Source organism: Homo sapiens, chromosome 1 (assembly GCF_000001405.40).
Source record: "Homo sapiens chromosome 1, GRCh38.p14 Primary Assembly".
Classification (NCBI taxonomy): domain Eukaryota; kingdom Metazoa; phylum Chordata; class Mammalia; order Primates; family Hominidae; genus Homo; species Homo sapiens.
Window position 1 is genome coordinate 155,590,002 of NC_000001.11, and position 26,816 is coordinate 155,616,817.

Sequence of the window (26,816 nt, forward strand, 5' to 3'; positions counted from 1 at the left end):
GGGGGTGAGGCGGGGCGGGCAGGACAGAAGGGTGCAGTGTTGGAGGTGGGGGCGGGGGTCTACATAGCTGGGACCTGACCCTGCAAGGTGGACATCCAGGACGGAGGAGCCAGAGGTCAGAAGTTCCGGAGGTAGGCAGTCCTTTGTTAACAGATCACTTGCTTTTCCATGGGTGAAGAGAGGAGCTCCAGAGGCCTGAGTACGATGGGGGGCAGCTGTCCAGCGACATCTAGGGAAACCCAGCCCCCAGCAGCAGCAGGAACTCTTGGGGACAGTCTGTCTTGTTGCAAAGGCCAGCACAGCAAGCAGCCTCCACATTAGTTCCACAGCTTGACTGGCTTCTAAAATGGGCATGTCAAGATCCAGAATCTCAAAGCATCCCCTCTTTGGCTCCATCATCCAAGGGTGAGAAACAGCAGAACCTAAGTGGGAGTCTGAGTCATCTTCTTGGTTCAGTTTTTAAATGAATTTTAAATACCCTCAGTCAAAAGAAAAATAGAAGGAGGCAGAAACAAAAGATATGAACCCATCCCAAAGCTGTTGGGCACTGCCACTTCTGGATGGCTCTAGTGCCAGCGGAGCCCCCATTCACTTCCATGTCAGACGTAATTCTTGGTAGGGTACTCAGAGGTCCCCCGAGAGATGGCAGGGGCAGATGTCCAGTAGCGGGCCATGTAATGGCTGGGGCCCCGTGACCCCCCGGAGGGGCAAGTGCAGCACAGCAGCCTGCCACCCAGCAACAAAAGGCCTGAGGCCGCCCAGCCCAAGTAGAGGGAGGCCCCCAGCTCCCACTTTTGGGCCTCAGCCACCAGGGGGTTATAGAAGTCCCAGATGATGGCATGCGCCGTCCAGCAAACGGGGATTAGTGTCAGGACCCCTGAGGTGACAAAGACAATCCCAGAGGTGAGCACCAGGCGGGCCTTGGAATCCTTCTCCTCCACACAGGTGGTACACTTGGCCCCAGCAAGGTAGACCAGCAAGCCGAACAGGGCCACAAGGAGGGTGATGACACAGACGGCACGTGCAGCCTGCAGGTCCTGTGGCAGCGCCAGCAGTGAGTCGTACACCTTGCACTGCATCTGGCTAGTGCTCTGCACCACTCAGGACATCCACAGGCCCTCCCACACCACCTGGCCACCACGATGCTGTTGCCGATGAAAGTGGTCACTTTCCACATGGGCAGGACGCAGGAGACCAGGCCATTCACCCAGCCCAGCAGTGTCAGGACGACTCCCAGGATCTGCATTCTGGCAGAGGCCATGGTGAGATTGAAGGAGCTGCACTGCGAAGGAGATATGCGAAATTCCTAGGCCAAGTCGACACTTAATATTAACCATCACGGTGATCTTCTAGATTGGCCCACAAATGCTGTTTCAGAAACTGCAGGATGTTCATTCTGGAACTGTACAGAGGCAATAGTACAGATGGTTGTTTTCTTTGGAAACAACAGTCTACTTAAGTGATATCATATATAAAACTTTAAGAACTAAAGATTTCATTTTGCTGTAGGCCAGGTGTGGTGGCTTACACCTGTAATCCCAGCACTTTGGGAGGCCGAGGCAGGCGATCACCTGAGGTTGGGAGTTCAAGACCAGCCTGACCAACATGGAGAAACCCCGTCACTACTAAAAATACAAAATTAGCCAGGCGTGGTGGCGCATGCCTGTAATCCCAGCTACTCGGGAGGCTGAGGCAGGAGAATCGCTTGAACCCGGGAGGCAGAGGTTGCAGTGAGCCAAGATCACACCATTGCACTCCAGCCTGGGCAACAAGAGCGAAACTCCGTCTCAAAAAAAAAAAAAGATTCCATTTTGCTAGCTTCTAATTTGCTTCAAAAAGTACCTGTAGTTTCAGCTACTTGGGAGGCTGAGGCAGGAGGATCATGCGGGCCCAGGAATTTGAGACTGTCCGGGGCAATATAGCAAGACCCCACCCTATGTCAAAAAAAAAGTATAACAAAAATTTCATCACATTACTGTAGAAATAGCACCACCTTGTGGCCCTTGAATAGTTTGTTTTCCACTCTGCTTTGTAAAGAGGCATGGTGCTTTCTCTCCGGTAGATAAAATTGAGTAGCGTTTAAGTAGTACTAGTGTGTGTTATTCAGATTGCTATGCTGAAGTAACAAGCCTTGTATTCTCAGTGGCCTAACACAAAGGATATTGTTTGTGTTGTGTGCATGTGTTTTGCTTTGTTTTTGCTGTTCCTGTCTTTCAAAACGGCTTTGCAAGCAAGATTGAAGTCTGGATGGAGGGACAAAAGTTTACCTTCTTGGGATACATCGCAACATGTAGCTTTTAAGGTGGGGAGGGAGAGATAATTTATACCTCACACTTAATTGGCTCTGATTAGAAAGGACACAATAACACAAGTTATTTCCATTCATAGGTGTTTAGCCAAAGGAATCACATGACTCCTCCTGTTTCTGCAAGGGAGGGTGAGAAGTGTAGAGAATGATTTGGATATTTGGATATTTCCCAAGCATTGCTGCTTCTGCTGTAATTTACAGTTATACATTCTCAGACAAAGCTGGAGTAACTCTAGTACTTGACAGTTACTTTTTTTTTTTTGAGATGGGGCTTCACTCTGTTTCCCAGGCTGGAGTGCGGTGGCACAATCTCGGCTCACTCCAACCTGTGGCTCCCGGGTTCAAGTGATTCTTGTGCCTCAGACACCTGAGTAGCTGGGATTACAGGCGCCTGCCACCATGCCCCGGCTAATTTTTGTACTTTTAGTAGAGACAGCGTTTCCCCAAGTTGTCCAGGCTGGTCTCGAACTCCTGACCTCAAGTGATCCACCCGCCTTGGGCTCCCAAAGTGCTGGGAGCGAGCCACTGTGCCCAGCTTACAGTTACTTTATATTAAATGGTTCAGAGGTTTCTGTGTATACCTAAATTTCCTACAGAGCAGTTTACTTTCTTTTTTTTTTGAGATGGAGTCTTGCTCTGTCTCCCAGGCTGGAGTGCAATGGCACGATCTTGGCTCACTGCAACCTCCACCTCCCAGGTTCAAGCAATTCTTCTGCCTCAGGCTCCCCAATAGCTGGGATTATAGGCGTGCAACACCACACCTGGCTAATTTTTTTGTATTTTTAGTAGAGACAGAGTTTCACCATTTAGGCCAAGCTGGTCTCAAACTCCTGACCTTAGGTGATCTGCCCACCTTGGCATCCCAAAGTGCTGGGATTACAGGCGTGAGCCACCGCACCTGGCCTACTGTTCTTAGTGGATGCTTTACATACTCCTTCACTGCATGTCTTCAATGGCAGATTCTTTATTCGAGGGCAAAAGACTAAGTACTTATAGTGTGTTAAGTACTCAGAGAAGGAGATACGAAAATGAATGAAATCTGATTCCTTCTCTTCCAAGCATGTAGCCAAGAAGACAAACATGTGTAACGTAACATGATACAATTCTAAAAAATAGATATTTTAAAGTGAGACAAACTTGGATGTGAATTCTGGTTCACCATCTACTAACTCTGTGACCTTAATCAAAATTACTCAACTTCCCTGAACCTTGTCTTCCCCATCATAACACAGGGTTGATAATATTCTGCCTATCTGCTAGGATTTCTAGGTTTAAAACTAGTGCATGTACAATACTGTATTGCCTAACATCTAATAGATACTCAGTTAACAGTAGGCATGAGTACAACACAAGGCAGTGTAATAAAATTGCCATTCGGGCCGGGTGCGGTGGCTCACGCCCATAATCCCAGCACTTTGGGAGGCTGAGGTGGTCAGATCACGAGGTCAGGAGATCGAGACCATCCTGGCTAACACAGTGAAACCCTGTCTCTACTAAAAATACAAAAAAACTAGCCGGGTGTGGTGGCAGGCGCCTGTAGTCCCAGCTACTCGGGAGGCTGAGGCAGGAGAATGGCATGAACCCGGGAGGCGGAGCTTGCAGTGAGCCGAGATCATGCCACTGCACTCCAGCCTGGGCAACAGAGCGAGACTCCGTCTAAAAAAAAAAAAATGCCATGCAATGTAAAGAGTGCTATTAGCAGTAAGGAAAGAGAATTACTTTTGACTGGAGGTGTCTGGCAAATTTTCACTGAGGATGTGACATTTGAGTTGAGACTTGATGAATGGGTAAGATTTAAATGGGGACAGAGGGCCAGGTGCGGTGGCTCACACCTGTAATCTCAGTACTTTGGGAGACCGAGGCGGGTGGATCACATGAAGCTAAGAGTTCGACACCAGCCTGGCCAACATGATGAAACCCCGTCTCTACTAAAAATACAAAAATTAGCCAGGCGTGGTGGCAGGCGCCTGTAATCCCAGCTACTTGGAGGTTGAGGCACGAAAATCACTAGAACCTGGGAGAGGGAGGTTGCAGTGAGCAGAGATCATGCCACTGTACTCCAGCCTGGGTGACAGAGTGAGACTCTCAAAAAGAAAATTAAGTAAATAAATAAGTAAATAAATGGAGAGAGAGGGAAGTTGAAGTAGAATGAGCAGAAGTATCGAAGCAGTAAAATGACATGTTTTAGCATGGTCCTATGGCTATAAATGAAACTAGAAACTTGAATTGAAGTCATCACAGTGGCCTTGTCATGCTGAGGAATTTGAGACTTATTTTGACATCATTCTGGAACCACCTAAGCCGTGTTTCTCTCTCTCTTTTTTTTTTAATGGGGTCTCACTGCATTGCCCATCCTGATCTCAAACTCCTGACCTCAAGCACTCCTTCCACTTTTGCTCCCAAGTAGCTGGGACTACAGGAGTGGACCACCACACCTGGCTCCCAAGTTTTTTGATTAGCTGAATGTTAAACCTATTATTTGGTAAGCTGAAAGACTATGAAAGATGAAACATCAAAGATTTAGAGATAAAGATGCTAATTAAAGGCTAGGCGTGGGTGGCTCATGCCTGTAATCCAAGCACTTTGGGAGGTCAGGGTGGGCAGATGACTTGACATCAGGAGTTCGTGACCAGCCTGGCCAACATGGCGAAACCCCGTCCCTACTAAAAATATAAAAAATTAGCCAGATGTGGTGGTGCATGCCTGTAATACCAGCTACTTGGGAGGCTGAGGCATGAGAATTGCTTGAACCCAGGAGGCAGAGGGTGCAGTGAGCCAAGATCATGCCACTACATTACAGCCTGGGCGACAGAGCGAGATTCTGTCTAAAAAAAAAAAAAAAACGCTTTCCTGCTTCAGGTTTGTTGTTTTTTTTTTTTTTTTTTTGAGATGGAGTCTCGGTCTGTCACCCAGGCTGGAGTGCAGTGGCGCAATCTCGGCTCACTGCAAGCTCTGCCTGCCGGGTTCACTCCATTCTCCCACCTCAGCCTCCCGAGCAACTGGGACTACAGGTGCCCACCACCATGCCTGGTTAATTTTTTTGTATTTTTAGTGGAGACGGAGTTTCACTGCGCTAGCCAGGATTGTCTCGATCTCCTGACCTCGTGATCTGCGTGCCTCGGCCTCCCAAAGTGCTGGGATTACAGGCGTGAGCCACCGCGCCCGGCCTCAATTTCTTTTTCTTTTTTTTTTTTTTTGAGATGGAGTCTTACTCTGTTGTTAGGCTGGAGTGCAGTGCTGTGATCTCTGCTCACTGCAACCTCCACCTCCTGGGTTCAAGCAATTCTCGTGCTTCAGCCTCCCAAGTAGCTGGGATTACAGGCACACACCACCACATCCAGCTAATTTTTATATTTTATATTTTTAATAGAGACACAGTTTCACCATGTTGGCCAGGATGGTCTCGATCTCCCGATCTTGGCCTCCCAAAGTACTGGGATTACAGGCATGGACCACCACACTTGGCCCAGAATCCAATTTTTCTAATAACCAATCTGGTGCTATTTTGCAGTTTTGTAAGTGGATTTCCTAGGGTCTGGAGAGGGAACTAACTTGATTTGTTATGAGAAGAGCAGCATTTAAAGTGAATTTTGTCTGCAGAAGCCAGGATTCCAGCAGTATCTAGTGTTGCATTTTCTAGTCCAGTTCCCTATTAGACTGGATATTAATTTCTTTTTGTTGCTGCCTCTCGTAAATGAAATTAATTTGTGGTCTGTGCTGTAATGTGAGGAACCAATAGCTTTCTTTCCCTGCCCCTACCCTCTGAGTCTTCCCATCTTAATATAGTCTGTGTGGAAAGAAAAAAATAATCACCCATTACCCAAAACATGATCTCAGCAGGGTGTGTTTTAAATATATCTCTAGCTTTCACCTATTTTCACAAACACAAAATGAAGTAGAATAAACGAATCAAGCCACTGAAGTGTCTTTCAGCTTTCTCTGTAATTGCAGTCCTTTTATCTGCCAATTCCTCTGGGGTTTCTATGGAAACAGCAGCATGCAGATGATCTTGTCACATGACTGGAGCATCTCTATACACAGCACAGAATAATCCAGATGGCAAGAATTGTCTCTGCTACCCCTACATCTACGGTTTACTTTGATGAACAATTGGCATCATCATTTAGGCCACCTTTATATACATACTGGGTTTGGGGACAGCAACCAGCATTCTTGGCTAAGATAAAAAATGAGGCTGGGCACAGTAGCTTATGCCTGTAATCCCAGCACTTTGGGATCCCGAGGTGGGAGGATCACTTGAGCCCAAGAGTTCAAGACTAGCCTGGGCAACATAGAGAGTCCCCAACTCCACACAAAAAAATTTTTAATTAGCAGTGCACAGTGGTATGTGCCTGTAGTCCAAGCTACTCAAGAGGTTTAGCTGTAAGGATCACTTGAGCCCAGGAAGTCAAGGCTACAGTCAGCTGAGATTGGGCCACTGCACTCCAGCCTGGACAGCAGGCTGTCTCAAAACAATGGGAGATATCTTTTCCAGCTTTAAGAGATGAATGGTCCAGTTGTGGTGGCTCATGCCTGCAATCCCAACACTTTGAGAGGCCAAAGTGGGAGGATCCCTTGAGCTCAGGAGTTCAAGACCAACCTGGGCAACATAGCAAAACCTCATCTCTATCCAAAAAAAGTCAAAAAATTAGACAGGTGTGGTGGTGCACACCTGTGGTCCCAGCTACTTGTGAGGCTGAGGTTGGAGGATCTTATGAGCCTGGGAAGCCAAGGCCTCAGTGAGCGGTGATTGCACTACCGCACTCCAGCCTGGGCAACTGAGCAAGACCCTGCCTCAAAAATACAAAAGACAAAGACATGAGTGAATACCAGACCTTATCCACTTTTCAAAGTCTTGGTCACAGATGAGAAGACAAGGTTGTGCATGGTGGCTGACGCCTGTAATTGCAGGATTTTGGGAGGCCAACGCAGGCGGATCACCTGAGGTCAGGAGTTGGAGACCAGCCTGGTCAACATGGTAAAACCCCGTCTCTATTAAAAACACAAAAAATTAGTAGGGCATAGTGGCGGGCGCCTGTAGTCCCAGCTACTCGGGAGGCTGAGGCAGGAGAATCACTTGAACCTGGGAGGCCGAGTTGCAGTGAGCTGAGATCACGCCATTACACTCCAGCCTGGGCAACAAGAGGGAAACTAAATCCTAACAAAACAATTGGATTGATGTAGGATTTGACAGGTAATTGCAAACTTTTTTTTTTTTTAGAAGAAGTCTCACTCTGTTGCCCAGGCTGGAGTGCAGTGGTGTGATTTCGGCTCACTGCAACCTCCGCCTCCCGGGTTCAAGCGATTCTCCCGTCTCAGCCGCCTGAGTAGCTGGGATTACAGATATGCGCCACCACGCCTGGCTAATTTTTGTATTTTTAGTAGGGAGGGGGTTTCACCATGTTGGTCAGGCTGGTCTCGAACTCCTGACCCCAGGTGATCCACCCGCCTTGGTCTCCCAAAGTGCTGGGATTACAGGCGTGAGCCACAGCACCCAGCCACTACTTTTTGTCTTTTTTTTTTTTGAGATGGAGTTTCAGTCTGCTGCCCAGGCTGGAGTGCCGTGGCGCGATCTCGGCTCACTGCAGCCTCTGCCTCCTGGGTTCGAGCGATTCTCCTGCCTCAGTCTCCCCAGTATCTGGGATTACAGGCACGCGCCACCACGCCCAGCTAATTTTTTGTATTTTTAGTAGAAACAGGGTTTCACCATGTTGCCCAGGCTGGTCTCAAACTCCTGACCTCAGATGATCTGCCCATCTCAGCCTCCCAAAGCACTGGGATTACAGGCGTGTGCCACTACACCCGGCCAGAATTTCTTTTTTTTTTAGATGGAATTTCACCCTTGTTGCACAGGCTGGAGTGCAATGACGCATCTCAGCTCACCACAACCTCTGCCTCCCTGGTTCAAGCAATTCTCCCGCCTCAGCCTCCAAAGTAGCTGGGATTACAGGCATGTGCCACCACGGCCAGCTAATTTGTATTTTTAGTAGAGACAGGGTTTCTCCATGTTGGTCAGGCTGTTCTCGAACTTCTGACTTCAGGTGATCCACCTGCCTCGGCCTCACAAAGTGCTAGAATTACAGGTGTGAGCCACCGCACCCGGCCAGGATTTCTTTAAAAAATATAAACACTGGCCAGGTGCAGTAGCTCACTTGTAATCCCAGCACTTTGGGAGGCCAAGGCAGGCAAACCACTTTTGGCCAAGAGTTCAAGATGAGCCTGGTCAACATAGTGAAACTCTGTCTCTACTAAAAATACAAAAATTAGCCAGGCGTGGTGGTACACACCTGTAATCACAGCTACTTGGGAGGCTGAGGCAGGAGCATCCCTTGAACCCAGAAGGTAGAGGTTGCAGTGAGCCAAGATCACGTCACTGCTTTCCAGCCTGGAGAACAGAGCGAGACCCAGTCTCAAACAGCAAGAACAACAAAAAAAACATAAGTACTGTTGACAGTACAAGTGACCTTTCTAGTCACCTTGTAGTCACGTTTTCTTTAACAACATATATTTTAGATGGAGAGAAGGGAACCGGAAAAACACTCGGTCTTTGCCATGTTATTCATTTCTGTGCAAAACAGGACTGGCTGATACTACGTATTCCAGATGGTAAGAACTTCCTGTCTTGTCTTCTCTCTGTTAGGTTCAGTTATCTTGTTACCGTGGTAGTCTTGTAGCTTTAATTTTCTAACGGGGATCTGATAGCTAAAGGAAAAGCCTTTGCCAGTCACGATGGCTCATGCCTGTAATCCCAGCACTTTGGAAAGCCGAGGCAGGCGGATTGCCTGAGCTTAAGCCCAGGAGGAGGCTGCAGTGAGCCGTGATCGCACCACTGCACTCTAGCCTGGGCGACAAAACAAGACGCTGTCTCAGAAAAGAAAAAAAAAAAAGAAAAGCCTTTACTCCAGATGTAGAGCAGTCTGAGCTCATCCATCATGATTTCTTCGTGATATTACTGCCAAGCAGGTTACAAGGTGAAGTCAATGTGATGAAAGGAAATTGGGCTAAAAGCTTCCTGAAGCCTTTTGATGCTAAGCAGTCCTTCTTTTGATATTTAATACCCATGAGCATAAACTCCTGCCTTAGAGGTCACCACGGGGTTTTTTTTGTTTTTTATTTTTTGCCATCGGTTAACAATTCTGAGTACCCACAGAGCCTTTTACTATTTATCAGCATTCTAGAGTCATCAGTATAGGTTGTCAAAACTTAAGGGATATTACACTTTGCATATGAAGGGGTGGGTTGCCCCTCCACACCTGTGGGTGTTTCTCGTAAGGTGGAATGAGAGACTTGGAAAAGAAAAAGACACAGAGACAAAGTATGGAGAAAGAAATAAGGGGACCAGGGGAACCAGCGTTCAGCATATGGAGGATCCCGCCAGCCTCTGAGTTCCCTTAGTATTTATTGATCATTCGTGGGTGTTTCTCCGAGAGGGGGATGTGTCAGGGTCACAAGACAATAGTGGGGAGAGGGTCAACAGACAAACACGTGAACAAAGGTCTTTGCATCATAGACAAGGTAAAGGATTAAGTGCTGTGCTTTTAGATATGCATACACATAAACATCTCAATGCTTTACAAAGCAGTATTGCTGCCCGCATGTCCCACCTCCAGCCCTAAGGCGGTTTTTCCCTATCTCAGTAGATGGAATGTACAATCGGGTTTTATACCGAGACATTCCATTGCCCAGGGACGGGGAGGAGACAGATGCCTTCCTCTTGTCTCAACTGCAAGAGGCATGCCTTCCTCTTATACTAATCCTTCTCAGCACAGACCCTTTACGGGTGTCGGGCTGGGGAACGGTCAGGTCTTTCCCTTCCCACGAGGCCATATTTCAGACTATCACATGGGGAGAAACCTTGGACAATACCTGGCTTTCCTAGGCAGAGGTCCCTGCGGGCTTCCGCAGTGTTTTGTGTCTCTGGGTACTTGAGATTAGGGAGTGGTGATGACTCTTAACGAGCATGCTGCCTTCAAGCATCTGTTTAACAAAGCACATCTTGCACAGCCCTTAATTCATTTAACCCTGAGTTGACTCAGCACATGTTTCAGAGAGCACAGGGTTGGGGGTAAGGTCATAGATTAACAGAATCTCAAGGCAGAAGAATTTTTCTTAGTACAGAACAAAATGGAGTCTCCTATGTCTACTTCTTTCTATACAGACACAGTAACAATCTGATCTCTCTTGCTTTTCCCCACAGCATATGTCCCTTTTTTGTTAAATATTGTGTGCATCCATATTTTTTCTTTCTTTTTTTTTGAGATGGAGTCTTGCTCTGTCGCCCAGACTGGAGTGCAGTGGCACGATCTCGGCTCACTGCAACCTGCATCCCCCGGGTTCAAGCGATTCTCCTGCCTTAGCCTCCCCAGTAGCTGGGATTACAGGCATGCACCACCACATCTGGCTAATTTCTGTATTTTTAGTATAGACAGGGTTTTGCCATGTTGGCAAGCTCCGCCTCCCAGGTTCATGCCATTCTCCTGCCTCAGCCTCCCAAGTAGCTGGGACTAAAGTCACCTGCCACCACGCCCGGCTAATTTTTTGTATTTTTAGTAGAGACGGGGTTTCACTGCGTTAGCCAGTATGGTCTCGATCTCCTGATCTCGTGATGCGACCGCCTTGGCCTCCCAAAGTGCTGGGATTACAGGTGTGAGCCACTGTGCTAGGCCTTTTTTTTTTTTTTTTTTTTTTTAAATAGAGATGGAGTTTCACCATGTTGGTCTGGCTGGTCTCAAGCTCCTGACCTCAGGTGATCGCCCACCTCGGCCTCCCAAAGTGCTGGGATTATAGGCTTGAGCCACCGCACCCAGCCTTGCTTGTATATTTATTCCTTTTTTTTTCTTTTGAAATGGAGTCTCACTCTGTTGCCCAGGCTGCAGTGCAGTGGTGTAATCTCGGCTCATTGCAACCTCCGCCTCCCAGGTTCAAGTGATTCTCCTGCCTTAGCCTCCTGAGTAGCTGGGATTACAGGCACCTGCCACCACGCCCGGCTATTTTTTTTTGTATTTTTAGTAGAGACGGGGTTTCACCATGTTGGCCAGGCTGATTTTGAACTCCTGACCTCAAGTGATCCGCCCGACTTGAGCTCCCAAAGTGCTAGGATTACAGGTGTAAGCCACTGTACCTGGCCTGATTTATATATTGATTCTAAAGATAATGTTTAGTCTAAGATGGACCTGACAAGGCCAGGCACAGTGGTTCACCAGCAATTTGAGAGGCTGAGGCAGGAGGATCGCCTGAGCCTAGAAGTTCAAGGTTACAGTTAGCTGTGATCTCACCACTGCCTTCTAGCCTGGGCAACAGAGCAAGACACTGTCTCAAAAAATAAAAAAAAGAAAAGAAATATATATTGGAAACTAAAGTCATTTCCCATAACTTAAAGAGGCTGGAATATTTCCAGTTCAATACAGTTTCTGCCTGGTTTTCTTCTGCCTTTTATTTATTTATTTTATTATTATTATTTTTTGAGACGGAGTCTCACTCTGTCACCCAGGCTGGAGTGCAGTGGCGCAATCTCGGTTCACTGCAAGCTCCGCCTCCCGGGTTCACACCATTCTCCAGCCTCAGCCTCCCAAGTAGCTGGGACTACAGGCGCCTGCCACTATGCCCAGCTAATTTTTTGTATATTTAGTAGAGACGGGGTTTCACTGTGTTAGCCAGGATGGTCTCGATCTCCTGACCTCGTGATCCGCCCACCTCAGCCTCCCAAAGTGCTGGGATTACAGGTATGAGCCGCCGCGCCCGGCCTCTTCTGCCTTTTTTTAAGCTCATCTTTGGGTGAAAAATTGCCGGGATGTTCTGCAGTCCAACTACAACAAACAGCGCTTTGATCAACCTTTAGAGGTTTCAACCTAGCTGAAGAATTTCAAAACTACAAATGAGCACTTCCTGGCCGGGCTTTGTGGCTCACACCTGTAATCACAGCACTTTAGGAGACCGAGGAGGGTGAATCACTTGAGGTCGGAAGTTCGAAACCAGCGACCAACATGGAGAAACCCTGTCTCTACTAAAAATACAAAATTAGCCAAGTGTGGTGGCACATGCCTGTAATCCCAGCTACTTGGGAGGCTGAGGCAGGAGAATCGCTTGAACCCAGGAGGCAGAGGTTGCGGTGAGCGGAGATCTTGCCATTGCACTCCAGCCTGGGCGACAAGAGCGAAACTCCATCTCAAAACAACAACAACAGCAGCAACAACAACAAACAACAAATGAGTGCTTCCTGAGCCAGGTGACAAGACTCCCAGAATTTGAGTGCTAGGTAGTCTTTATATGGATTCTGTCCTCCTTGTGCCCTGGGTACCAACAGACTATGGAGAACTGATACTGGAGTTGGAATAACTGTATCATTTTTAATTTCTTTCATACGTTTTGCTCACAGTGGACTCATAACTTGAAACTCATTTATCCATGTGAAATAAATAGGCAACAGTAAGTTGTTCCCATTTTGTGGGTAGCAAAGTGAAATCCAGTTGATTCATTGACTTTTCAAGGTACAGCCTCCAATCCCTCGCAAGCACATTTCCAACTACATGATTTTCTCCAGACAATATCTTTTTAGGGAACCAGAAATGTATTGGAAAAATTCTTCTTTACCCTGGTGATTCTTGGATACCCTGTCTAGACCAGGGGCCTTCAACTCTGGATATAAAGCAGAGTCACCTAAGAGCTTGTTAAAAATGCAGATGCCAGAGTCTCATTCTGGACATTTTCATCAGAATCCCTTATGTATGTTTTTTCAAGGCTCCAAGCAGAAATGGATTAGAAAGCATTCACTTTGGTCAGGCACAGGGGCTCATGCCTGTAATCCCAGCACTTTGGGAGGCTGAGTTGGGCAGATCACTTGAGGTCAGGACTTTGAGACCAGCCTGGCCAACATGGTGAAACCCCATCTCTACTAAAAATACAAAAATTAGCTGGGCGTGGTGGCGTGCACCTGTAATCCCAGCTACTTGAGTGGCCCCATGCATGTAATCCCAGCTACTCAGGGGGCTGAGGCAGGAGAATCACTTGAACCTGAGAGGTGGAGGTTGCAGTGAGCTGAGATCACACCACTTCACTCCATCCTGGGCATCAATGAGACTCTGTCTCAAAAAACAAAAGAAAATAAAAGAAAACAAAAATTACAAAAAGAAATAGAATATCATGGTTACAGAATTAATATACTTCAGTAATTGGTAAAAGAGATAAAAGAATTGGTAAGAACATAAAGATTGAATAGCACGATTAACACACTTCTCCTAATGGAATTATTTTTAAAGATGAAGTCCCAGACCTGGCACAGTGGCTCACGTCTGTAATCCCAGCACTTTGGGAGGCCAAGGCAGGTGGATCACCAGAGGTCAGGAGTTCAAGACCAGCCTGGACAACATGGTGAAACCACATCTCTACTAAAAATACAAAAACTAGCTGGGCACGGTGGCAGGCACCTGTAATCCCAGCTACTAGGGAGGCTGAGGCAGGAGAATCGCTTGAACCTGGGAGGCAGAGGTTGCAGTGAGCTGAGATCACGCCACTGTACTCCAGTCTGGGTGACAGAGCGAGACTCTGTCTCCAAAAGAAAAAAAAAATTAAATCTCAAAACAACAACTTTTTTTTTGGTAGAAGTTCTTTTACATTCACATAATATATTTTATTTTTGACAGTCTAAATACAGTCATCCTTTTTAACCCAGGAAGACAGAGAGAAAAGAGAGCAACTTTAGTTGCCTAAAGCTGAACTTGGATATCACCAAGCCTCTAGAAAGATGGAAGATTATGAAATAATGCTTTAATAAACATATTATTAATTTAATAAGCACTTGTTCTACAAAGTAGAAAATACATCAGGTCATTATATTTGACCCCTGAGCAACAACGTTTTTGGACTGCATGGGTCCACTTATTCACAGATCTTTTTCAATAGAAGTTATACGGAGTGGACCTGCCTTTCTGGCCTCACCTTCCACCTATCAAATCCCAAAACTTCTGAATGTACTTTCTTTTCAAGCACATAAAGAACCTGTTCAAAACTGACTGACAATGGACCATAAACCAGCTCAATATATTTCAAAGAATTTAAATCATACAGCCGTGTACTCTGATTCTAACGCAATTTAAACTAGAAACCAGTAACAAAAAGAGAAGTAGAAACTCCTCACGTGTCTGGAAATTAAAACATACTTTTCTGATGTGCCCATTGGTCAGGAAAAAAGATCAGAATGGAAATGAGAAAGTAATTCAAATTAAATGATTGTGAAATTACTAAACACAAAACTTAAACAAAAATTTTGTACGTTGAAAATACTGGCTGGCAGGGCACGGTGGCTCAGGCCTGTAATCCCAGCACTTTGGGAGGCCGAGGCAGGAGGATTGCTTGAGCCCAGGACTTCAAAGCCCGTCTGGGCAACATGGTGAAACCTCATCTCTACAAAAAATGCAAAATTAGCTGGGTGTGATGGTGCACGCCTGTAGTCCCAGCTACTTGGGGGGCTGAGGTGGGAGGATGGCTTGAGCCCAAGAGGTCGAAGTTGCACTGAGCCATGTTTGTGCCACTGCACTCCGGCTTGAGTGACAAAGTGAGATCCTATCTCAAAAAATGATAAAATTAAATATTTAAAAATATTAAAATTGATAAAAACTGATTTACTATTGACACAAAACAGATAATTTTTTGCCTTTAAAACAGACAATATTGGGCTGGGTGCGGTGGCTCACGCCTGTAATCCCAGCACTTTGGGAGGCTGAGGCAGGCGGATCACCTGAGGTCAGGAGTTCAAAACCAGCAGGGCCAAAATGGCGAAACCCCATCTCTACTGAATATACAAAAATTAGCCAGGCATGGTGGTGGGCACCTGTAATCCCAGCTACTCGGGAGGCTGAGGCAAGAGAGTCACTTGAACCTGGGATGTGGAGGTTGCAGTGAGCTGAGATTGTGCCACTGCACTCCAGCCTAAGCAATAGAGCAAGACTCCATCACAAAACAAAACAAAACAAAACAAAACAAAACAAAAACAATATTGAAAATAAAAAAGCACATCACCACAGATCCTGCAGACATGAAACAGTTTAAATGAGTTCACCATAAACAACTTGGTAGTAATAGCTCTGAATTTGTAGATGAAATGGACAAATTTCCAAAAAAATATGGCTTACCAATATTGACACAAAAAAATAAACTTTAAATACTCCTATACTAATACAGAACTTGAATAATTCATAGGTGAAAACTTTTCTGCAAACACTGCAGGCAGGGCATGGTTCACTCCTGTCATCCCAGAACTTTCAGAGTGGGAGGATGGCTTGAGTCCTGGAGTTCGTGACCAGCTTGAGCAACATAGACCTCCTCTCTACAAAAAAGGTTTAAAATCATGTAGTCACAGCTACTCCGGAGGCTGAAGTGTGAGGATCGATTGAATTAAGGGGTTCAAACTGCAGTGAGCTCTGATCCAGCCATTGCACTCCCTCCAGCCTGGCTGACAATCAGATAATGTCTTAAAAACAAAAACAAAGAAATAACCAACTCTAGGTCTATATAACTTGGCCTGTAAACTCCAGCAAACATTTAAAGAAATGATGCCAATCTCATATAAATTCTTGTGGAAAATAGAAAAGGGAAAATACTTCCCAACTTGTTTTTGAGGCCACTGTTATGCTAATATCAAATGCTGACAAGAACATTAAAGAAAAGGAAAATTAGCCAATCCCATTCACACATATGGATGCAAAACAAAATATCAGTAAGTAGATCCAACTTTTTTTTTCTTTTTTTTGACAGAGTCTTGCTCTATCACCCAGGTTGCACTGCAGTAGCATAATCTCAGTTCAGTGCAACCTCCACCTCCTGGGTTTAAGCAATTCTCCTGCCTCAGCCTCCCGAGTAGCTGGGACTACAGGCACTGGCCACCATGCCCAGCCTTTTTTTTTTTTTTTTTTTTTTTTTTTTTTTTGTATTTTTAGTAAAGACGGGGTCTCGCCATGTTGGCCAGGCTGGTCTCGAACTCCTGGCCTTAAGTGATCCGCCTGCCTCAGCCTCCCAAAATGCTGGGGATTACAGGTGAGAACCACTGTGCCTGGCCAAGATACAACTTTTTTTTTTCTATTTTTTCTTCTTCTTCTTTCTTTTTCTTTTCAGACGGAGTCTCACTCTGTCTCCCAGGCTGGAGCGCAATGACATGATCTTGGCTCACTGCAACCTCCGCCTCCCAGGTTCAAGAGATTCTTCTGCCCCAGCCTCCCGAGGAGCTGGGACCACAGGCGCGTGCCACCACTGCCAGCTAATTTTTGTATTTTTAATAGAGATGGGGTTTCACCATGTTGGCCAGGTTGTTCTCAAATCCTGACCTCAGGTGATCGCCTGCCTCAGCCTCCCAAAGTGCTGGGATTACAGGTGTGAGCCATCGTACCCAGCCTTTTTTTTTGTAGCAACAAGATCTCACTATGTTACCCAGGCTTGTTTTGACCTCCTGGGCTCAAGTGATCCACCTGCCTCAGCCTTCCAAAGTGCTGGGATTACAGGCATGAGCCACTGCAGCCGGCCCAGATCCAATATTTTATATTTATTTATTTTTTGAGACAGAGTCTCCATCTGTCGCACAGGCTGGAGTGCAGTGGCCCCATCTTGGCTCACTGCAACCTTTGCCTGTCGGGTTCAAGCAATTATCCTGCCTCAGACTCCTGAGTAGTTGAGATTACAGGCACGCGCCACCTCGTCCTGCTAATTTTGTGTTTTTAGTAGAGATGGGGTTTCACCATGTTTGCCAGGCTGGTCTCGAACTTCTGACCTCGTGATCCGCCCGCCTTGGCCTCCCAAAGTGCTGGGATTACAGGTGTGAGCCACCACACCCAGCCAGATCCAATATTTTAAAAGGATAATCAACATAAATGAATTTAGGTTTTTTGTTTGTTTGTTTGAGTTGGAGTCTTTCTCTGTCACCAGGCTGGAGTGCTATGGCGCGATCTTGGCTCACTGCAACCTCCGACTCCCTGGTTCAAGAGATTCTCCTGCCTCAGCCTCTCAAGTAGCTGGGATTACAGGCACGTGCCACCACGCCCAGATAATTTTTGTATTTTTAGTAGAGACAGGGTTTTCACTATGTTGGCCAGGATGGTCTCGAACTCCTGACCTTGTGATCCGCCTGCCTCGGCCTCCCAAAGTGCTAGTATTACAGGTCTGAGCCACCGCGCCTAGCCGAGTTTAGGTTTATTTGAGGAATGCAAGATAGTATTACATGATAATCTAACGATGTAATTTATTCATTAGCACAACAAAGGAAGGATAAAATAATGTAATTATCTTGGTTTGGAGAAAGCTGTAAAAAACATTCAAATCTATTCATGATCAAAACTCTTAGCAAATCAGGACAGAGAACTTCCTTAAACTGTCAGAGTATCTATAGAAACTTTTCAGCCCACATCATACTTAGAAAAGTGAAATAGTAGCCGGGCATATTGGCTCACGCCTGTAATCCCAATATTTTGGGAGGCCGAAGTGGGCAGATCGCTTGAGCTCAGGAGACCAGCCTGGGCAAGATGGTGAAACCCCTTCTGTACAAAAAATACAAAAATTAGCCGGGTGCAGTGGCCTATGCCTGTAATTGCAGCTACTTGGGAGGCTGAGGTGGGAGGATCGCTTCAGCCCAAGAGGTTGAAGCTTCAGTGAGCCGGGAGATTGCACCACTGCACTCCAGCCAGGGCAAAGAGAGTGAGACAGTCTCAAAATAAATAAACAAAACTAAATATAATACATGTGAAAATACAAAGAGCTCAGAAGAGATAAGAGCATCTAACCTTTATTTCTTGAAAAAATTTCAAACCTACAAGAATGCTCAGAGAGTACTGCAAAAGAACACCTATAATCTTCACCTAGATTCAATTAACATTTTGTCACTTTTTAAAATTTTGAGACAGGGTCTCCCTCTGTCTCTGGCTGCAGTGCAGTGCTCCAATCATGGTTCACCGCAGCCTCTAATTCCTGCGCTGAAGCGATCCTCTCACCCTAGCCTCTGGTTAGGACTACAGATGTGGGCTGCCTAGCTAATTTTTTGAAAAATTCTTTTATAGAGAGGATAGGGGGAGGGGGAGTCTCACTACATTGTCCAGTCTACCCTCACATTCTCGAATTTCTGGACTCAAGCGATCTTCCTGCCTCAGCCTCACCAAAACGTGGGAATACAGGCGTGAGCCTCTGCGCCCAACCAATATTTGCCTTATCTCTTTTTTTTTTTTTTTTTTTTTGAGATGGAGTCTGGCTCTGTTGCCCAAGGTGGAGTGCAGTGGCGCGATCTCGGCTCACCGCAAGCTCCGCCTCCCGGGTTCACGCCATTGTCCTGCCTCCGCCTCCCAAGTAGCTGGGACTACAGGTCGCGCCCGTCACCACGCCCGGCTAATTGTTAGTATTTTTAGTAGAGACGGGGTTTCACCGTGTTAGCCAGGATGGTCTCGATCTCCTGACCTCGTGATCCACCCGCCTCGGCCTCCCAAAGTGCTGGGATTACAGGCTTGAACCGCGGCGCCCGGCCTTTTTTATTTTTATTTTTATTTTTTTATTTTTTATTTTTTAGAGAGGAGTTTTGCTCTTGTTTCCCAGGCTGGAGTGCAGTGGCGTGATATCGGCTCACTGCAACTTCCACCTCCCAGGTTCAAATGATTCCCTGACTCAGCCTCCTGAGCAGCTGGGAGTACAAGGGCCCGCCACCACGCCCGGCTACATGTTTTGTATTTTTAGTAGAGACCGGGGTTTCATCATGTTAGCCAGGCTGGTCTCAACCTCCTGACCTCAGTTGATCCTCCTGCCTCGGCCTCCCAAAGTGTTGGGATTACAGGCGTAAACTACCGCACCCGGCCCTTGCCTTGTTTCTAAATACACACAAGAATGTTAATCATAGCACCTAATAGCCCAAAAATTGGAAACAATCCCAAAAGCTATTATCAGCAGTATATATATATATATATATATATATATTTTTTTTTTTTTTTTTTTTGAGACAGAGTCTCGCTCTGTCGCCCAGGATGGAGTGCATTGGCGTGATCTCGGCTCACTGCAAGCTCCGCCTCCCGGGTTCACGCCATTCGCCTGCCTCAGCCTCCCGAGTAGCTGGGACTACAGGCGCCCGCCACCACGCCCAGCTAATTTTTTTTTGTATTTTTAGTAGAGATGGGGTTTCACCGTGTTAGCCAGGATGGTCTCGATCTCTTGACCTCGTGATCTGCCCGCCTCAGCCTCCCAAAGTGCTGGGATTACAGGCGTGAACCACCGCGCCCAGCCTATTCTTTCTTTAGAATAGATCAGTGGTGGCGTATTCATACAATGGACTATTCCGCAGTGATGAAAATGAATTATAGATATTTGCAAAAATATGAATTACATAAACCATATTGAGCAAAAGACGCCAACAGATACATACTCTCTTTACATAAGGTGTTAGATACACAGAGATAGATAAATACGTGTAAATGATAGAGATATGATAGCTAAGCCAGTCCACAGGTTATTAGTCGTGGTCCACGTGACTTCTGAAGAGATGAAGGGGCATGGGAGGCTTTAGGGGAGCTTCCGCTTTTCTGGCAAGGTTTTCTTTTTGCCCGGGGAGCTATCAGCCAGCGGAGAGATCTGTGAGAAGGGATAAGACCTCAAGACAAGTAGGAAGCAGAGCCTTCCACGGCCCGCGCCCTGGCGGCCCCAAGTCAGCGGCGGAGACGGCGCCCACCCCGCTCCAACGTGGAGCAGGAGCAACGGCGTGGCCCGTGGAGCCCCGCCCCTCACAGGCAACCACAGAGAAGCCGGACTGGGCCACGTCTAGGAAGAGGTAGGAAGGGATCGGCGCATCGTTTCTCCAATGGGAAAGGATGTGTTTGCGGGCCAATAAGTAGCCGAGAATAACACCCGCCCACGCGCCTGCCAAGCCAATCGGCTAGGAGCAGCGAGCGGCGCGGCTGAGGCGCGGCGGCCCCGTGGAGCAGCGCAGTATGGCGGGCGGGGCCCGGGAGGTGCTCACACTGCAGTTGGGACATTTTGCCGGTTTCGTGGGCGCGCACTGGTGGAACCAGCAGGTGAGGTCAGCCGGCAGCTGCCCCCGAGGAGCCCTTCGGGATCTACAGTCCCGACGTTCAGCCGGCCTGCCTCGTCCTCTCTGCTTCCCCAGGATGCTGCGCTGGGCCGAGCGACCGATTCCAAGGAGCCCCCGGGAGAGCTGTGCCCCGACGTCCTGTATCGTACGGGCCGGACGCTGCACGGCCAGGAGACCTACACGCCGCGACTCATCCTCATGGATCTGAAGGGTGAGGTGGTGGCAGAGTTAGCCGATGCCCCTTATTTCCCTTCCGCGTGCCTAGTCCTTGCGCTGCCGTTATCTTCAAGACCCTCCCACCTTACCGAGCTCCAGGACCGGAGATGAGGAGCTGAGCACAACATGCCAACACTCGAGGGGCCCACGACAGTTGCTCAAGAGCCATTTCGGGAATAGGCTGCTAGGCCCTGGAGACAGTGAGGACTTGAACTGCAGCACTCCTGTCAGACCCCTGGATGTGGTTCCCCCCGCGTCCCACAGCTAATGACTAAGCTGGGAACCGAAAGATGGAATCTAGATTCTCCTAAGCCAAGGTTTTTCCCCCAACTAGTGTATATCCCAGAAAGCTTGGAAGAGCCAAGTGCTGGAGAGATGGTGACAGCAGGTTGTCAGGTGATCAGAGGAAGGTTAGCTAGAGGGGAAGGGTGCCCAGGCTTTGACCTAACATTGTCTCTGTTATTTCTGTACAGGTAGTTTGAGCTCCCTAAAAGAGGAAGGTGGACTCTACAGGGACAAACAGTTGGATGCTGCAATAGCATGGTGTGTAACTGATGTATGGATAAGGGTGGGGATCGTGTATGTACGCAGAACGCTGGATAACTCTGATCAGAGTGCAGTTTCTTTGATCAATCTCCAAACTCTTTCAGGCAGGGGAAGCTCACCACACACAAAGAGGAACTCTATCCCAAGAACCCTTATCTCCAAGACTTTCTGAGTGCAGAGGTGAGGGCCTCTGTCCTGAACTTTTTAACCCGGTGCCACAACCCGAGGGTCTCCATAGGGGCAGGTAAACGGGGATTTTAATCATTTTAAGTGTCTTAGAATGATATTTTGGGAAAAAGCACTCCTTTTCCTAAGGACTGCGACTCGGTGAACAGAAAGGAGGCTATGCGGTGTGGCCAGCCAACTCAAGGAGGACGAAGCAACCTTTGCCTCTAAACTGCCTGGAACTAAATGTCGATTTTTCTGACCCCTCCCAGGGAGTGCTGAGTAGTGATGGTGTCTGGAGGGTCAAATCCATTCCCAATGGCAAAGGTGAGACTTCTCCAGATACTGATGGATGGGGGCTTGGGTAGAGCAGAAACATGGAGAAAGGTACATTTCCTCTGCTTGTCTTCAGGTTCCTCACCACTCCCCACCGCTACAACTCCAAAACCACTTATCCCTACAGAGGCCAGCATCAGGGTCTGGTCAGACTTCCTCAGAGTCCATCTCCATCCCCGGAGCATCTGTATGATTCAGAAGTACAACCACGATGGGTATGGGGACCCCAGAGGCTTTGAGGCAAGAAACATGGGTCCCCACCAATGCAGGATGAGGCTCTTGAGGCCATCTTCCCTGCCCTTCCCCAGGACAAGAGGCTGAGGAGTTGAGGGAAGAGATGTAAGTCTTGGATCATGTTTACTTGTGGCAGGGAAGCAGGTCGGCTGGAGGCTTTTGGCCAAGGGGAAAGTGTCCTAAAGGAACCCAAGTACCAGGAAGAGCTGGAGGACAGGCTGCATTTCTACGTGGAGGAATGTGACTACTTGCAGGTAGTGGCGTGGCAATGTGCACTCCAGGGTGGAAGCTCTTCTCATCCTGCTAACTATCTTTTGTCACTCACCCCCGTCCAGGGCTTCCAGATCCTGTGTGACCTGCACGATGGCTTCTCTGGGGTAGGCGCGAAGGCGGCAGAGCTGCTACAAGATGAATATTCAGGGCGGGGAATAATAACCTGGGGCCTGCTACCTGGTCCCTACCATCGTGGGGTGAGTGGAACTTAGAGAAGTAAACAGTCACACAGTGGGGAGGGAGAAATCAGAATCCCAGTGGGAGAGCTGCTTAATACAAACTACTCTTTCTTCACCAGGAGGCCCAGAGAAACATCTATCGTCTATTAAACACAGCTTTTGGTCTCGTGCACCTGACTGCTCACAGCTCTCTTGTCTGCCCCTTGTCCTTGGGTGGGAGCCTGGGCCTGCGACCCGAGCCACCTGTCAGCTTCCCTTACCTGCATTATGATGTAAGTCTCGGTGCTCTTGTTCTGACTGCGGCAGGCTACAGGGCCTCCTCATGCTCCCAGTCAGCCGCTGTCTGTTACTGGCTCTGTTCTTGAGGCCCGAGCTTGAACTCAGCTGTGATGTGGCCTCTCAGATCACACTGTCCTATGCTTGTCCAGCCTGGGGTCAAACATACCCCTGATTCGTCCCCTGGGTCTCTCTGGTGTTAATATTCTGCCTCCACACATTCTTTTCCAGGCCTGAGGCCAAGTGCCCATCTTGGTGTCTTCTTACAGGCCACTCTGCCCTTCCACTGCAGTGCCATCCTGGCTACAGCCCTGGACACAGTCACTGTTCCTTATCGCCTGTGTTCCTCTCCAGTTTCCATGGTTCATCTGGCTGACATGCTGAGCTTCTGTGGGAAAAAGGTATGAAGCTTTGTAAGGGGTTGGGTCAGTGCTGAGAAAATGTCCTATAACGTGTTCTCTTCCATCTCTTTAGGTGGTGACAGCAGGAGCAATCATCCCTTTCCCCTTGGCTCCAGGCCAGTCCCTTCCTGATTCCCTGATGCAGTTTGGAGGAGCCACCCCATGGACCCCACTGTCTGCATGTGGGGAGCCTTCTGGAACACGTTGCTTTGCCCAGTCAGTGGTGCTGAGGGGTATAGACAGAGCATGCCACACAAGGTGAGAGCTGTTGGTCCTTAGGAGTCCTTGTCAGATTTTTGTCTCATATCCATCTTCCCCTAATTTCTCTGGGGCATTCTAATGATACTGTTCCCTCCCCACCCCTTAAAAAGGAAAAAAAAAAGGGCTTTGAATATCTTGATCCAGCTGATGGCCTGAGAACATAAGAATTCTGTTTCTTATTCATGCAGCCACAGACTAATGGTGGTTTTGGCTTTGTTCTGGCAGCCAGCTCACCCCAGGGACACCTCCACCCTCTGCCCTTCATGCATGTACCACTGGGGAAGAAATCTTGGCTCAGTATTTACAACAGCAGCAGCCTGGAGTCATGAGGTCAGTGTAACGGTTGCTCCTGCCCTTCTTGCCAACCGCAACCCTCCCTTGACTTCTTACGCACTTAATGGCTGTTCTCTGCCCCCACAGTTCTTCCCATCTGCTGCTGACTCCCTGCAGGGTGGCTCCTCCTTACCCCCACCTCTTCTCAAGCTGCAGTCCACCGGGTATGGTTCTGGATGGTTCCCCCAAGGGAGCAGGTATGTAGGAGGTGAAGAAAACTGAGATTTCAAGTATGGGAGAGTTTTTACTATCTCCATTCCTGGATTAAAAGTGCTGAAAAAGTCCACAGTTAAACATTCCTTTATTCACCCTATGGCTCCCAAGAAAAGCATTCTTCCTCTGGAGTACTGGTGTACTAAGGGGACAATACACCAAATTTGTTGAGTTTACAATCAAGTCTACTAAGGTTGGACTTCCTTATCAGTTTGGCAGAGTCCCAGGGCAGAATAATCATCCATCTACAGGTCTCTGTTTCCTCTCCCTCCACAGCAGTGGAGAGCATCCCAGTGTTTGGGGCACTGTGTTCCTCTTCGTCCCTGCACCAGACCCTGGAAGCCTTGGCCAGAGACCTCACCAAACTCGACTTGCGGCGCTGGGCCAGCTTCATGGATGCTGGAGTGGAGCACGATGACGTAGCAGAGCTGCTGCAGGAGCTACAAAGCCTGGCCCAGTGCTACCAGGGTGGTGACAGCCTCGTGGACTAAAGTTCCCAGTGTGGGAGAAAGGAGCTAGTTTGCAATAAAAACAGCTGGATGCAGGAGCCCAGTGTCTTCATGCAGAGGAGCTCAATGTCGCGGGACTAGCTACACCAACATATGCACTTTTTACATTTAGAAACACTGTGATTAGACCACAGAACAATAAATATGTGCCATCAGACCAAAAAAAAGTAGAGAAAGGAGCTGAACTCCACTCTCGATGCTACTTACAGAGGACATCTGTAAAGTCTTCATAAAAGACCTTGAATGATGCCTAGGATGGCAGAGCCCCTGGGTCCTACTCCATCCTCCAGCCTTTGTCCTTGTCCTGGCCTCCTGCTCTCCAGATCTGTAAACTGGGCTCAAGGACTGTACAAGCAGAGTACAACTACCCGCCTCCCCGGTGCCAGGGCGCCTGTTGGGTTTGGTCCTGTGTAGATGATTCCCAGAGTCTCATTCATCCAGCTCCTCTTCAGACAGAAGGTCCCCATGGTCAGACAGCTGGTCTGCATTGCTGGTACTGGTTGCATCATCCTCATCCTCAGAGCTGGCTTCACAGGCAGTGTGGAAGAGCTGCATGAGTTCTCGAAAATGGTGGGAAACCTAAGAAAGGAGGAGGGCTGTATTCACTGATCCTTAGTAACATGTTAACATTTATGAAGCACTATATATTGATTTGCAAAATCTTTTGTTTATTCCACACAGCAAGGTTGAGAGAGCTATGTCACTATAGATAAGGAAACTCAAGAGGCTAAATGTTTTGCCCAAAGTCACACGACTCCTAAAAACAAAACTAGAATGGCCGGGCACAGTGGCTCACACCTGTAATCCCAGCACTTTGGGAGGCCGAGGCAGGTAGATCACTTGAGGTCAGGAGTTCGAGACCAGCCTGGCCAACATGGTGAAGCCCTATCTCTACTAAAAATAGAAAAATTGGCTGGGTGGTGGGCACCTGTAATCCCAGCCACTCGAGAGGCTGAGGCAGGAGAATTGCTTGAACCTGGGACGTGGAGGTTGCAGTGAGCCACGATCATGCCACTGCACTCCAGCCTGGGCGACAGAGCAAGACTCTGGCTCAAAAAAAAAAAAAAAGCTAGAATGGAAACGGGCTTCCACCTAAAAATGCAGTGTCCTTTCTCTTCTCCTAGAACCACTACCACCCTGATGAGTCAAGCCTTTCCTTAGATCAAACCTTTACAAAAACCACTTATCTTGGATATGAAAACTCCTTCTTTGGCCTTTCTGTCTCTTAGTTGGCCACCTTGACCTCTTTTTGCCAGGTCTTCACCCCAACCCGCACCTACCTCAGCAGGGGTCTTATTTCCCAGCTGCTGGGAGATGATGCTGAAGGTCTGTGGCTGTGCCCCTTGCTCCTGGCACATGGTGAGGATCACACGGTCAGCTTCCCTGTAACCCAGGTATCATGATTAACCCTAGGGAGCCACATGGATGTGGTCTATGCTCTTTTCCAAACACACATCATCCACCCTTACCTACCTTGTCCACAGGACAACCTTTTCCCCAGTGGAGCTGACCTTGCTGTTATTGGCACACACCGTAGCTTCTGTGGCCTTTGGCTGCTGTTCCCCCTCTGGACCCTTGCCCTGTGTTCCACTGTCTTTAGCCAAACCCCCTCTAGGGGCTTTGGGAGAAGTCTCTGAGGTGTCAATTCCTGATGGAGATTCATGGACAGGGCACGTCCTGTCTCTTGTCTTCACCCTAGCTCTGCTTGAGGGCAGCCATCTCTCTTGAGTGTCTGGTTTCCCGGACACATGTCTTCTCCCTGCATCTCTGGTCTTTGAGGAAACAGGACTCAGGAAGGAAGCAGGGGGTTCCACGGTACCAGGCAATTTCTCAGTTTCTGATGCATCCCAGACCAGCATCAAAGCCTCTGACTCACTCACTGCCTTTTGGCCCTCCCTCTCTTTCTGAAGTCTGGGGGATGCCTTGGGGCAGGAGCGAACCTCAGGCCCAACCTGGTTTCTCTTAACAGTGTACAGTACAGCTCCAGTTGTGGGGGGAAATTGAGGAGTCTCTGGTGAATGAGGTGGTGGGCCATCCAGGAGGAGCCGTTCTGTAAGAGTCACTTCTCGAGGGGATGGCAAAGTGCCCCCCACTGCCAATCCTGCTTAGGAGGAAAATAAGGATCCCAGGGTACTGTGAGGATCAAGATGCACCTAAGCACGAGAAATTACCTGTGGCCAGGTACTGTGCAAAAATTCTAATAAAAAAGAGTGCTGGGCATGGTGGCTCACACCTATAACGTCCGCACTTTGGGAAGCCAAAGTGGTGGGACTGCCAGGAGTTTGAGACTAGCCTGGGCAATATGGTGAGACCCCATCTCTGCAAGAAAATATAAATAATAAAGGAGTTGGGTGGAGATGGTGGGCATAATGTCACTTATGCAAAGATATAAAGTCCTACTGCCAAAGCTGAGAACGGCCCAGTCTTTAGGATGTAGATTACACTAGATTTAGAGATGGGGGAAGGGTTTTAGGAATAAAACACAAGACAATGTTGAATCATGTGAAATTTGTAGCACTTTTTTTT

General features: G+C 47.9%; 1 protein-coding gene, 1 long non-coding RNA gene and 3 pseudogenes across 34 annotated transcripts in view, besides 6 other annotated features; 2 read left to right on the forward strand and 3 right to left on the reverse strand.

Annotated features, from left to right (window-relative positions):
• MSTO1 (misato mitochondrial distribution and morphology regulator 1) overlaps positions 1-24,966 on the forward strand; it is a 51,722-nt gene extending 26,756 nt beyond the window's left edge. For 2 of the 33 annotated variants that reach the window (XM_047424007.1, XM_047424008.1), the window contains 15 exons: positions 8,822-8,914; positions 19,872-20,331; positions 20,424-20,559; positions 21,038-21,107; positions 21,215-21,290; positions 21,548-21,602; positions 21,688-21,826; positions 21,982-22,099; positions 22,181-22,315; positions 22,417-22,569; positions 22,843-22,974; positions 23,048-23,232; positions 23,461-23,565; positions 23,656-23,765; positions 24,058-24,966. In XM_047424007.1, coding sequence (XP_047279963.1) covers positions 20,248-20,331; positions 20,424-20,559; positions 21,038-21,107; positions 21,215-21,290; positions 21,548-21,602; positions 21,688-21,826; positions 21,982-22,099; positions 22,181-22,315; positions 22,417-22,569; positions 22,843-22,974; positions 23,048-23,232; positions 23,461-23,565; positions 23,656-23,765; positions 24,058-24,272 — 1,713 coding nt within the window. In that variant the 5' untranslated portion in view covers positions 8,822-8,914; positions 19,872-20,247 and the 3' untranslated portion in view covers positions 24,273-24,966. Of the gene's footprint in view, positions 1-8,821; positions 8,915-19,871; positions 21,108-21,214; positions 21,355-21,409; positions 21,603-21,687; positions 21,852-21,919; positions 22,100-22,180; positions 22,316-22,416; positions 22,570-22,804; positions 22,975-23,047; positions 23,233-23,423; positions 23,566-23,655; positions 23,766-24,032 lie in introns of those variants that run through there. The other 31 variants (NR_046293.1, NR_046292.1, NR_146908.1 and 28 more) reach the window with 31 other exon arrangements.
• On the reverse strand, positions 403-1,317 carry LOC284620 (claudin 6 pseudogene; annotated as a pseudogene).
• Positions 849-1,428: an enhancer, noted in NCBI's record as "H3K4me1 hESC enhancer chr1:155560641-155561220 (GRCh37/hg19 assembly coordinates)". NCBI's record gives its function as "activates a minimal SCP1, AML or CMV promoter by ChIP-STARR-seq in naive H9 embryonic stem cells {active_cell/tissue: H9 hESC(naive)}" and the evidence as "EXISTENCE:reporter gene assay evidence [ECO:0000049][PMID:30033119]".
• On the forward strand, positions 8,812-12,196 carry DAP3P1 (death associated protein 3 pseudogene 1; annotated as a pseudogene).
• Positions 8,977-9,271: a silencer, noted in NCBI's record as "tiled region #723; K562 Repressive DNase unmatched - State 5:Enh". NCBI's record gives its function as "represses a minimal TATA promoter and a strong SV40 promoter by Sharpr-MPRA in K562 cells {active_cell/tissue: K562}" and the evidence as "EXISTENCE:reporter gene assay evidence [ECO:0000049][PMID:27701403]".
• Positions 9,505-10,157: an enhancer, noted in NCBI's record as "NANOG-H3K27ac hESC enhancer chr1:155569297-155569949 (GRCh37/hg19 assembly coordinates)". NCBI's record gives its function as "activates a minimal SCP1, AML or CMV promoter by ChIP-STARR-seq in naive and primed H9 embryonic stem cells {active_cell/tissue: H9 hESC(naive and primed)}" and the evidence as "EXISTENCE:reporter gene assay evidence [ECO:0000049][PMID:30033119]".
• Positions 10,158-10,811: an enhancer, noted in NCBI's record as "NANOG-H3K27ac-H3K4me1 hESC enhancer chr1:155569950-155570603 (GRCh37/hg19 assembly coordinates)". NCBI's record gives its function as "activates a minimal SCP1, AML or CMV promoter by ChIP-STARR-seq in primed H9 embryonic stem cells {active_cell/tissue: H9 hESC(primed)}" and the evidence as "EXISTENCE:reporter gene assay evidence [ECO:0000049][PMID:30033119]".
• Positions 19,204-20,078: an enhancer, noted in NCBI's record as "H3K27ac hESC enhancer chr1:155578996-155579870 (GRCh37/hg19 assembly coordinates)". NCBI's record gives its function as "activates a minimal SCP1, AML or CMV promoter by ChIP-STARR-seq in primed H9 embryonic stem cells {active_cell/tissue: H9 hESC(primed)}" and the evidence as "EXISTENCE:reporter gene assay evidence [ECO:0000049][PMID:30033119]".
• On the reverse strand, positions 19,608-22,633 carry LOC105371452 (uncharacterized). Its single transcript, XR_922171.2, has 2 exons — positions 22,558-22,633; positions 19,608-19,891 (listed from the first exon to the last, which is right to left on the reverse strand). It is a non-coding gene; the product is annotated as an uncharacterized LOC105371452 (long non-coding RNA).
• Positions 20,079-20,953: an enhancer, noted in NCBI's record as "H3K27ac hESC enhancer chr1:155579871-155580745 (GRCh37/hg19 assembly coordinates)". NCBI's record gives its function as "activates a minimal SCP1, AML or CMV promoter by ChIP-STARR-seq in primed H9 embryonic stem cells {active_cell/tissue: H9 hESC(primed)}" and the evidence as "EXISTENCE:reporter gene assay evidence [ECO:0000049][PMID:30033119]".
• Positions 25,569-26,816, reverse strand: part of LOC100419798 (gon-4 like pseudogene) — a 31,110-nt pseudogene continuing 29,862 nt past the window's right edge.